The sequence below is a fragment of the Homo sapiens genome, chromosome 3 (genome assembly GCF_000001405.40).
Source record: "Homo sapiens chromosome 3, GRCh38.p14 Primary Assembly".
In the NCBI taxonomy this organism is placed as follows: domain Eukaryota; kingdom Metazoa; phylum Chordata; class Mammalia; order Primates; family Hominidae; genus Homo; species Homo sapiens.
The window spans coordinates 184,368,628-184,379,995 of record NC_000003.12 but is presented as its reverse complement, the minus strand read 5'-3'; the positions used below and the strand labels follow the sequence as shown (position 1 = coordinate 184,379,995).

The 11,368-nt window shown below is 51.2% G+C and overlaps 1 protein-coding gene across 11 annotated transcripts; it reads left to right on the top strand.

Moving 5' to 3' along the window:
- THPO (thrombopoietin) lies at window positions 308–8,061 on the top strand. 11 transcript variants are annotated; one of them, NM_001290027.1, is made up of 8 exons: window positions 308–405; window positions 1,619–1,921; window positions 3,592–3,749; window positions 3,981–4,108; window positions 4,395–4,481; window positions 6,414–6,581; window positions 6,818–6,898; window positions 7,015–8,061. In NM_001290027.1, the coding sequence occupies exons 3-8, from the start codon at window positions 3,737–3,739 to the stop codon at window positions 7,396–7,398; spliced, it is 861 nt and encodes a 286-aa protein (NP_001276956.1). In that variant the 5' UTR covers window positions 308–405; window positions 1,619–1,921; window positions 3,592–3,736; the 3' UTR covers window positions 7,399–8,061. The 11 variants fall into 10 exon arrangements, with proteins under 11 accessions (NP_001276956.1, NP_001276955.1, NP_001276951.1 ...); NM_001290003.1 differs by having other exon boundaries at window positions 6,818–8,061; NM_001290026.1 differs by having other exon boundaries at window positions 6,835–8,061.

Sequence of the window (11,368 nt, the reverse complement as noted above, 5' to 3'; positions counted from 1 at the left end):
TCCTCCTCAGCAAACGGGGCGGCGGCGGCAGCTCGGCGAGGGGCCGGGCTGAGCCCGGGGGGTCCGACCCAGCAGCAGCGGCCCGGATCGCGGGTGGGGGAGGGGAGGGAGGGGCTGGGACCGGGCAGGGGAGGAGGGAGGGGCGGGAGGGGAAGGGGGAGCGGGGGAGGGGGAGGGGAGGGACCAGGGGGCGCGAAGAGGGGGAGGAGAGGCGGGCCCGGAGCCCCCCGCTGCTGGCGGCCACAGGGCGGCTGGACCAGGAGGTCGGTGTCCAGCCCAGGAAGGGAGCCTCAGGCTAGGGAGGGGCAGAGGCTAGGCCTGAGGCCTGGACCGCTCTGTGAGCGAGGACCCGGTTCCGCCCGAAGGATGAAGACTTGTCTTTAAAGATGACAACGTACAGGAAAGGTCCATCAGCCGATCTCCCCCTGCCTGGGCCCACAGCGCCCCCCAAACCCTCACCACCCTCTCTCACTGCCTAGCCTGCCTCCCTACCTTCTCTCTGAGGTCGCTCCTCATTCTTGTGTTACCCAGGACAGGGACCTAGCCAGAAACCGGCAGCATTCCCCCTTCTGTGGAGTGACAGTATCTCCCTCTCATTGTAACTTATCCTCAGGCGCATTCGACAGTCCCCTCTTGCTTTCTCACCCCCTTCCTTCACCCAAGGGACCCTCTGCCTCTCCAGCCCACTCCCAGCCTCCTTTCTCTTGGTTCCCTGGTCATGCCTGCCTCCCTGTCTCCTGTCTCTCCCTCCCACACACACCCACTATCCTCCCAGCTATCCCAGCACCCTCCTTCCTAATCTTGGGAGACATCTCGTCTGGCTGGACGGGAAAATTCCAGGATCTAGGCCACACTTCTCAGCAGACATGCCCATCCTTGGGGAGGAGGAACAGGAGAGAGCCTGAGGAAGTTCTGGGGGACAGGGGGATGATGGGATCAAGGTCAGGCCAGGAAGCCCCTGAGGACAGAGACTGTGGGGAGACTGGGACTGGGAAGAAAGCAAAGGAGCTAGAGCCAGGGCCAAAGGAAAAGGGGGGCCAGCAGGGAGGTATTTGCGGGGGAGGTCCAGCAGCTGTCTTTCCTAAGACAGGGACACATGGGCCTGGTTATTCCTCTTGTCACATGTGGAACGGTAGGAGATGGAAGACGGAGACAGAACAAGCAAAGGAGGGCCCTGGGCACAGAGGTCTGTGTGTGTAGCCATCTAAGCCACTGGACCCCAGCAGACGAGCACCTAAGCTCAGGCTTAACCCAGTGCACGTGTGCGCACATACATGTGCCCCGCACCTGACAGTCCACTCAACCCGTCCAAACCCTTTCCCCATAACACCAACCCATAACAGGAGATTTCTCTCATGTGGGCAATATCCGTGTTCCCACTTCGAAAGGGGGAATGACAAGATAGGACTCCCTAGGGGATTACAGAAAGAAAAGCAGGAAAGCAAGCATCCTGTTGGATTTCAGCAGCAGGTATGATGTCCAGGGAAAAGAAATTTGGATAGCCAGGGAGTGAAAACCCCACCAATCTTAAACAAGACCTCTGTGCTTCTTCCCCAGCAACACAAATGTCCTGCCAGATTCCTCCTGGAAAAAAACTTCTGCTCCTGTCCCCCTCCAGGTCCCAGGTTGCCCATGTCCAGGAAAAGATGGATCCCCCTATCCAAATCTTCTCCGTGGTGTGTGTGGGTGGAGGAGTGGACCCTGGTCCAGGCAGGGGCTCCAGGGAAGAGAAGGCGTCACTTCCGGGGGCCTTCACCAGTGTCTGGTGGCTCCCTTCTCTGATTGGGCAGAAGTGGCCCAGGCAGGCGTATGACCTGCTGCTGTGGAGGGGCTGTGCCCCACCGCCACATGTCTTCCTACCCATCTGCTCCCCAGAGGGCTGCCTGCTGTGCACTTGGGTCCTGGAGCCCTTCTCCACCCGGTGAGTGGCCAGCAGGGTGTGGGGTTATGTGAGGGTAGAAAGGACAGCAAAGAGAAATGGGCTCCCAGCTGGGGGAGGGGCAGGCAAACTGGAACCTACAGGCACTGACCTTTGTCGAGAAGAGTGTAGCCTTCCCAGAATGGGAGGAGCAGGGCAGAGCAGGGGTAGGGGGTGGGGTGCTGGTTTCTGAGGGACTGATCACTTACTTGGTGGAATACAGCACAGCCCTGGCTGGCCCTAAGGAAAGGGGACATGAGCCCAGGGAGAAAATAAGAGAGGGAGCTGCACTTAGGGCTTAGCAAACACAGTAGTAAGATGGACACAGCCCCAATCCCCATTCTTAGCTGGTCATTCCTCGTTAGCTTAAGGTTCTGAATCTGGTGCTGGGGAAGCTGGGCCAGGCAAGCCAGGGCGCAAGGAGAGGGTAATGGGAGGAGGGCCCACTCATGTTGACAGACCTACAGGAAATCCCAATATTGAATCAGGTGCAAGCCTCTTTGCACAACTTGTGAAAGGAGGAGGAAGCCATGTGGGGGGTCCTGTGAAGGAACCGGAAGGGGTTCTGCCAAGGGGGCAGGGAGGCAGGTGTGAGCTATGAGACAGATATGTTAGTGGGCGCCTAAGACAAGGTAAGCCCCTAAGGTGGGCATCACCCAGCAGGTGCCCGTTCCTGGGCAGCTGGTCTCAGGAAGGAAGTCCCAGAACTGTTAGCCCATCTCTTGGCCTCAGATAATGGAGTATTTCAGGACTTGGAGTCCAGAGAAAAGCTCCAGTGGCTTTATGTGTGGGGGTAGATAGGGAAAGAATAGAGGTTAATTTCTCCCATACCGCCTTTTAATCCTGACCTCTAGTGGTCCCAGTTACAGCTTTGTGCAGTTCCCCTCCCCAGCCCCACTCCCCACCGCAGAAGTTACCCCTCAACATATTGCGCCCGTTTGCCAGTTCCTCACCCAGGCCCTGCATCCCATTTTCCACTCTCTTCTCCAGGCTGAAGCCACAATACTTTCCTTCTCTATCCCCATCCCAGATTTTCTCTGACCTAACAACCAAGGTTGCTCAGAATTTAAGGCTAATTAAGATATGTGTGTATACATATCATGTCCTGCTGCTCTCAGCAGGGGTAGGTGGCACCAAATCCATGTCCGATTCACTGAGGAGTCCTGACAAAAAGGAGACACCATATGCTTTCTTGCTTTCTTTCTTTCTTTCTTTCTTTCTTTTTTTTTTTTGAGACGGAGTTTCACTCTTATTGCCCAGGCTGGAGTGCAATGGTGCGATCTCGGCTCACCACAACCTCCGCCTCCCAGGTACAAGCGATTCTCCTGTCTCAGCCTCCCAAGTAGCTTGGATTACAGGCATGAACCACCACACCCTGCTAGTTTTTTTGTATTTCGTAGAGCCGGGGTTTCACCATGTTAGTGAGGCTGGTGGCGAACTCCTGACCTCAGGTGATCCACCCGCCTTGGACTCCCAAAGTGCTGGGATTACAGGCATGAGCCACTGCACCCGGCACACCATATGCTTTCATCACAAGAAAATGTGAGAGAATTCAGGGCTTTGGCAGTTCCAGGCTGGTCAGCATCTCAAGCCCTCCCCAGCATCTGTTCACCCTGCCAGGCAGTCTCTTCCTAGAAACTTGGTTAAATGTTCACTCTTCTTGCTACTTTCAGGATAGATTCTTCACCCTTGGCCCGCCTTTGCCCCACCCTACTCTGCCCAGAAGTGCAAGAGCCTAAGCCGCCTCCATGGCCCCAGGAAGGATTCAGGGGAGAGGCCCCAAACAGGGAGCCACGCCAGCCAGACACCCCGGCCAGAATGGAGCTGACTGGTGAGAACACACCTGAGGGGCTAGGGCCATATGGAAACATGACAGAAGGGGAGAGAGAAAGGAGACACGCTGCAGGGGGCAGGAAGCTGGGGGAACCCATTCTCCCAAAAATAAGGGGTCTGAGGGGTGGATTCCCTGGGTTTCAGGTCTGGGTCCTGAATGGGAATTCCTGGAATACCAGCTGACAATGATTTCCTCCTCATCTTTCAACCTCACCTCTCCTCATCTAAGAATTGCTCCTCGTGGTCATGCTTCTCCTAACTGCAAGGCTAACGCTGTCCAGCCCGGCTCCTCCTGCTTGTGACCTCCGAGTCCTCAGTAAACTGCTTCGTGACTCCCATGTCCTTCACAGCAGACTGGTGAGAACTCCCAACATTATCCCCTTTATCCGCGTAACTGGTAAGACACCCATACTCCCAGGAAGACACCATCACTTCCTCTAACTCCTTGACCCAATGACTATTCTTCCCATATTGTCCCCACCTACTGATCACACTCTCTGACAAGGATTATTCTTCACAATACAGCCCGCATTTAAAAGCTCTCGTCTAGAGATAGTACTCATGGAGGACTAGCCTGCTTATTAGGCTACCATAGCTCTCTCTATTTCAGCTCCCTTCTCCCCCCACCAATCTTTTTCAACAGAGCCAGTGCCCAGAGGTTCACCCTTTGCCTACACCTGTCCTGCTGCCTGCTGTGGACTTTAGCTTGGGAGAATGGAAAACCCAGATGGTAAGAAAGCCATCCCTAACCTTGGCTTCCCTAAGTCCTGTCTTCAGTTTCCCACTGCTTCCCATGGATTCTCCAACATTCTTGAGCTTTTTAAAAATATCTCACCTTCAGCTTGGCCACCCTAACCCAATCTACATTCACCTATGATGATAGCCTGTGGATAAGATGATGGCTTGCAGGTCCAATATGTGAATAGATTTGAAGCTGAACACCATGAAAAGCTGGAGAGAAATCGCTCATGGCCATGCCTTTGACCTATTCCCGTTCAGTCTTCTTAAATTGGCATGAAGAAGCAAGACTCATATGTCATCCACAGATGACACAAAGCTGGGAAGTACCACTAAAATAACAAAAGACTGAATCAAGATTCAAATCACTGAAAGACTAGGTCAAAAACAAGGTGAAACAACAGAGATATAAACTTCTACATGTGGGCCGGGGGCTCACGCCTGTAATCCCAGCACTTTGGGAGGCCGAGGCAGGCAGATCACCTGAGGGCAGGAGTTTGAGAGCAGCCTGGCCAACATGGCGAAACCCCGTCTCTACTAAGAATACAGAATTAGCCGGGCATGGTAGTGCATGCCTGTAATCCCAGCTACTTGGAAGGCTGAAGCAGGAGAATCCCTTGAACCCAGGAGGTGGAGGTTGTAGTGAGCTGAGATCATGCCAATGCACTCCAGCCTGGGTGACAAGAGCAAAACTCCGTCTCAAAAAGAAAAAAAAATTCTACATGTGTAAATTAATGAGTAAAGTCCTATTCCAGCTTTCAGGCCACAATGCCCTGCTTCCATCATTTAAGCCTCTGGCCCTAGCACTTCCTACGAAAAGGATCTGAGAGAATTAAATTGCCCCCAAACTTACCATGTAACATTACTGAAGCTGCTATTCTTAAAGCTAGTAATTCTTGTCTGTTTGATGTTTAGCATCCCCATTGTGGAAATGCTCGTACAGAACTCTATTCCGAGTGGACTACACTTAAATATACTGGCCTGAACACCGGACATCCCCCTGAAGACATATGCTAATTTATTAAGAGGGACCATATTAAACTAACATGTGTCTAGAAAGCAGCAGCCTGAACAGAAAGAGACTAGAAGCATGTTTTATGGGCAATAGTTTAAAAAACTAAAATCTATCCTCAAGAACCCTAGCGTCCCTTCTTCCTTCAGGACTGAGTCAGGGAAGAAGGGCAGTTCCTATGGGTCCCTTCTAGTCCTTTCTTTTCATCCTTATGATCATTATGGTAGAGTCTCATACCTACATTTAGTTTATTTATTATTATTATTTGAGACGGAGTCTCACTCTATCCCCCAGGCTGGAGTGCAGTGGCATGATCTCAACTCACTGCAACCTCAGCCTCCCGGATTCAAGCGATTCTCCTGCCTCAGTCTCCCAAGTAGCTGGGATTACAGGTGCCCACCACCATGCCCAGCTAATTTTTGTATTTTTGGTAGAGATGGGGTTTCACCATGTTGGCCAGGCTGATCTTGAACTCCTGACCTCAGGTGATCCACCTGCCTCAGCCTCCCAAAGTGCTGGGATTACAGGCGTGAGCCACTGCACCCAGCCTTCATTCAGTTTAAAAATCAAATGATCCTAAGGTTTTGCAGCAGAAAGAGTAAATTTGCAGCACTAGAACCAAGAGGTAAAAGCTGTAACAGGGCAGATTTCAGCAACGTAAGAAAAAAGGAGCTCTTCTCACTGAAACCAAGTGTAAGACCAGGCTGGACTAGAGGACACGGGAGTTTTTGAAGCAGAGGCTGATGACCAGCTGTCGGGAGACTGTGAAGGAATTCCTGCCCTGGGTGGGACCTTGGTCCTGTCCAGTTCTCAGCCTGTATGATTCACTCTGCTGGCTACTCCTAAGGCTCCCCACCCGCTTTTAGTGTGCCCTTTGAGGCAGTGCGCTTCTCTCTTCCATCTCTTTCTCAGGAGGAGACCAAGGCACAGGACATTCTGGGAGCAGTGACCCTTCTGCTGGAGGGAGTGATGGCAGCACGGGGACAACTGGGACCCACTTGCCTCTCATCCCTCCTGGGGCAGCTTTCTGGACAGGTCCGTCTCCTCCTTGGGGCCCTGCAGAGCCTCCTTGGAACCCAGGTAAGTCCCCAGTCAAGGGATCTGTAGAAACTGTTCTTTTCTGACTCAGTCCCCCTAGAAGACCTGAGGGAAGAAGGGCTCTTCCAGGGAGCTCAAGGGCAGAAGAGCTGATCTACTAAGAGTGCTCCCTGCCAGCCACAATGCCTGGGTACTGGCATCCTGTCTTTCCTACTTAGACAAGGGAGGCCTGAGATCTGGCCCTGGTGTTTGGCCTCAGGACCATCCTCTGCCCTCAGCTTCCTCCACAGGGCAGGACCACAGCTCACAAGGATCCCAATGCCATCTTCCTGAGCTTCCAACACCTGCTCCGAGGAAAGGTGCGTTTCCTGATGCTTGTAGGAGGGTCCACCCTCTGCGTCAGGCGGGCCCCACCCACCACAGCTGTCCCCAGCAGAACCTCTCTAGTCCTCACACTGAACGAGCTCCCAAACAGGACTTCTGGATTGTTGGAGACAAACTTCACTGCCTCAGCCAGAACTACTGGCTCTGGGCTTCTGAAGTGGCAGCAGGGATTCAGAGCCAAGATTCCTGGTCTGCTGAACCAAACCTCCAGGTCCCTGGACCAAATCCCCGGATACCTGAACAGGATACACGAACTCTTGAATGGAACTCGTGGACTCTTTCCTGGACCCTCACGCAGGACCCTAGGAGCCCCGGACATTTCCTCAGGAACATCAGACACAGGCTCCCTGCCACCCAACCTCCAGCCTGGATATTCTCCTTCCCCAACCCATCCTCCTACTGGACAGTATACGCTCTTCCCTCTTCCACCCACCTTGCCCACCCCTGTGGTCCAGCTCCACCCCCTGCTTCCTGACCCTTCTGCTCCAACGCCCACCCCTACCAGCCCTCTTCTAAACACATCCTACACCCACTCCCAGAATCTGTCTCAGGAAGGGTAAGGTTCTCAGACACTGCCGACATCAGCATTGTCTCGTGTACAGCTCCCTTCCCTGCAGGGCGCCCCTGGGAGACAACTGGACAAGATTTCCTACTTTCTCCTGAAACCCAAAGCCCTGGTAAAAGGGATACACAGGACTGAAAAGGGAATCATTTTTCACTGTACATTATAAACCTTCAGAAGCTATTTTTTTAAGCTATCAGCAATACTCATCAGAGCAGCTAGCTCTTTGGTCTATTTTCTGCAGAAATTTGCAACTCACTGATTCTCTACATGCTCTTTTTCTGTGATAACTCTGCAAAGGCCTGGGCTGGCCTGGCAGTTGAACAGAGGGAGAGACTAACCTTGAGTCAGAAAACAGAGAAAGGGTAATTTCCTTTGCTTCAAATTCAAGGCCTTCCAACGCCCCCATCCCCTTTACTATCATTCTCAGTGGGACTCTGATCCCATATTCTTAACAGATCTTTACTCTTGAGAAATGAATAAGCTTTCTCTCAGAAATGCTGTCCCTATACACTAGACAAAACTGAGCCTGTATAAGGAATAAATGGGAGCGCCGAAAAGCTCCCTAAAAAGCAAGGGAAAGATGTTCTTCGAGGGTGGCAATAGATCCCCCTCACCCTGCCACCCCAAACAAAAAAGCTAACAGGAAGCCTTGGAGAGCCTCACACCCCAGGTAAGGCTGTGTAGACAGTTCAGTAAAGACAGGACCTGGATGTGACAGCTGAGCAAACAGCTAGAGCTTTGGCAGCTCAGCAGGAGGCTTTGCCAGGCATGGACGCCTGCCTCCCTCCTGTGGAGGTCAGGAGGAAGTGCAGGAAGTGGCATGAGTCAGGCTCCTTGAGCTCACACAGCAGGAGAACAAGTACAAGTCAAGTACAAGTTGAAGGCTCATTTCCCAGTTCCCGCAAATGCATCTAAAAAGCAGCTCTGTGTGACCACCATAAACTCTGCTAGGGGATCTCTAAAAAGGAGTCAGGCTTATGGGGCTTTGCAAATAAGTGCTGCCTTGGTGCTCAGGAAAAGGTTTGTGTTGCACAAAAACACAAATTCCACTGCAAAAATCAACCTGCTACCTCCAGAGGTTCCTGTAGGAAAACTAGTGGAAGCTTCTTCCTCTCCCCGACCCCTGAGGAAGGAAAGGCTACCACGGAGGTAGAGGAGCCAGGAACCCAGAAACCCAAACACTGCCACAAATACCCCAGGGTCACCAAAGGCATTCCAAAGCAGCAGAATGAAAGGCAATGTGCTAGGAACCTCGTGTACTTTACCTTTTGTAACATTCACACAACTCTGTAAGGTAGGTATTATCTTTTCTGTTTTAGAGATGAGGAAACTGAGGCTCAGAGAAGCCAGGTGAGTTATCAGTGGTTACACGCCCTGTGGGCAGGAGAAGAAACACCCTAGTCTGACCTCACTCTAGGGTCCATACTCTCTCCAGTGTGGTACACTGTCCTATATGTCATTTAATGATTCTGTTTACTGGGAAAGACATACAAGTCCTTAAGGAGTAACAGTTAGAGTTTTGAGGCCGGGCGCGGTGGCTCACGCCTGTAATCCCAGCACTTTGGGAGGCCAAGGCAGGCGGATCACAAGGTCAGGAGATCAAGGCCATCCTGGCCAACACGGTGAAACCCTGCCTTTACTAAAAATATGAAAAATTAGCCGAGTGTGGTGGCAAGCGCCTGTAGTCTTGAACCCGGGAGATGGAGGTTGCAGTGAGCCAAGATCGCGCCACTGCACTCCAGCCTGGGCAACAGAGTGAGACTCCATCTCAAAAAAAAAAAAGAGTTCTGAGTAGAAAACCAAAGTTCTTAGTGGAGGTGACCAATTTAGACATCTTCCCATGTCCCTCTCTCCCTTCACGGACAGAATAGTTTTCCTAGAGAAGGAATCAACAAATGCACAAAGCTCAAAAATGTTGTCCAAATCTCAAATGCTGTCAGTTTCTGCATGGAAGAGAAGTAGTTCATTCATACTACAAATTCCAGCATGCAGTCAAGGGAATGTTAAGTGGAAACTAACTTACTGACATATTGAGCTGGGTTAAATTTAATAATCAAATGAAACACTTTATAGCACATGAAAGTGCCAGCACCTAGGACACGATACACCAATAGAACCAGAGAATGATGGGTTCCCAGCACAGACAGATGAGAGACAAGAATGGCAAAACTTTAGGGCCAGGTATGGTGGCTCACACCCAGCACTTTGGGAGGCCGAGGCAGGCGGATCACCTGAGGTCGGGAGTTCGAGACCAGCCTGACCAACATGGAGAAACTCCATCTCTACTAAAAAATACAAAATTAGCTGGGCATGGTGGTGCATCACCTGAGGTTGGGAGTTTGAGACTGGCCTGACCAACATGGAGAAACCTCGTCTCTACTAAAAATACAAAATTAGCTGAGCATGGTGGCACATGCCTGTAATCCCAGCTACTCGGAAGGCTGGGGCAGGAGAATCGCTTGAACCCGGGAGGCAGAAGTTGTGGTGAGCCGAGATCGCGCCATTGCACTCCAGCCTGGACAACAAGAGCGAAACTCCATTTCAAAAAAAAGAAAAAAAGAAATAGAATGTCAAAACTGCAAATGTCACCAGAAACTTCCAGGCATCTGGTATTGGTATGTGACTTACTCCACTTGTGGGCAAATGCGAGTAACTCATGGGCTTCTCCAGTGTGAACTTACCTGCCCTATTACAAATCTAACCCATTCCCAAATCAGTCTGGTTGGTCCCATCCCTTCTTCCCACTAACACAAAAAAACAATTACAACCAGAACACTCCTATCCCTATTCAATGCTCTACCAGTTCTCTTTCTTCTGCTACCCCAAGACCGCCAGGACAGTCTATGATAACCTACACACTATTACTTGTAATTCGTTTGTCTCACTCTCATTTGTCGTTCTCCAACCCCACAAAAAAACCCACCCCATGGAAAGGTTCTAGGATTTCATAAAAATTCATCCCAACTCCCTCCCCCTACTCTACCCATAGTAAGGTAAAAGAAACACCTCTTCCTCCTCCCTGCTGAGGCCATTCATTTTCAACCCATTTCCCTAAATACTATTTCTAACACCTCACATGAAGATCCGAAAATGATGGGGAAGGAAATACCCCAGGTATCCCAGCAGGGGACCAGCTCCCAGGCAAAACCAGATCAAACAGACAACTGTTTAATGCACAGAGAATCTTTTTGGATTGTTACCCTAAACTTCCTAGGGGAAAACAGAACCCCATATGCTTTCCTAGAGACCTCTAATGCCAAGCTGAAGAGCCAGCTCACATGCTGGAGCCCTTATCATAGCCATTTCCTTAATGTTTTTTCTTCCCCTACTCATAAGTTAGTGACTGTAGTCAGGCCGCTACATGGTCCTGGCACTGGCCCTGGCTCTGGCCTGCCAACTTCATTGGTATTGCTGCCCTGTCCACTTCCACTTACCCTCCCTCCCAGGTCACCACTGGAATGTAGAGCAGAGAGCCAGCTCCTCCAGCTGCTTCCAGAACCACCAAGTCCTCTCGTCCTACTCTCTTCATAGTCATCTCCCATGCCTGTAGCTAAAAGCCTCTACCCAAAGCTTCCATAAAAATAATGAACATTTCTAGACTATGCAAGTGACTCATTCAAGTCAGCATGAACTGACTTCCTAAGAGACTGAAAGTGTTGGAAGGACATGAGCAGGGCTCCTTGCCAATTCAAAATTCTGCGCCAAATGGGTGGTATCTTCTGGGCCTGGGGTACCCTCAGGAGCCAAAAGCACAACTCTCTCCCAGACTGAAAACCACACTGGAGGATAAATGTTGAGAACAGTCAGCCAGGAGACTGAGATAACCCTGAACCCAGATACCAAAAGGCTGGAATAGATCCTACATTGACAAGTGATCAGC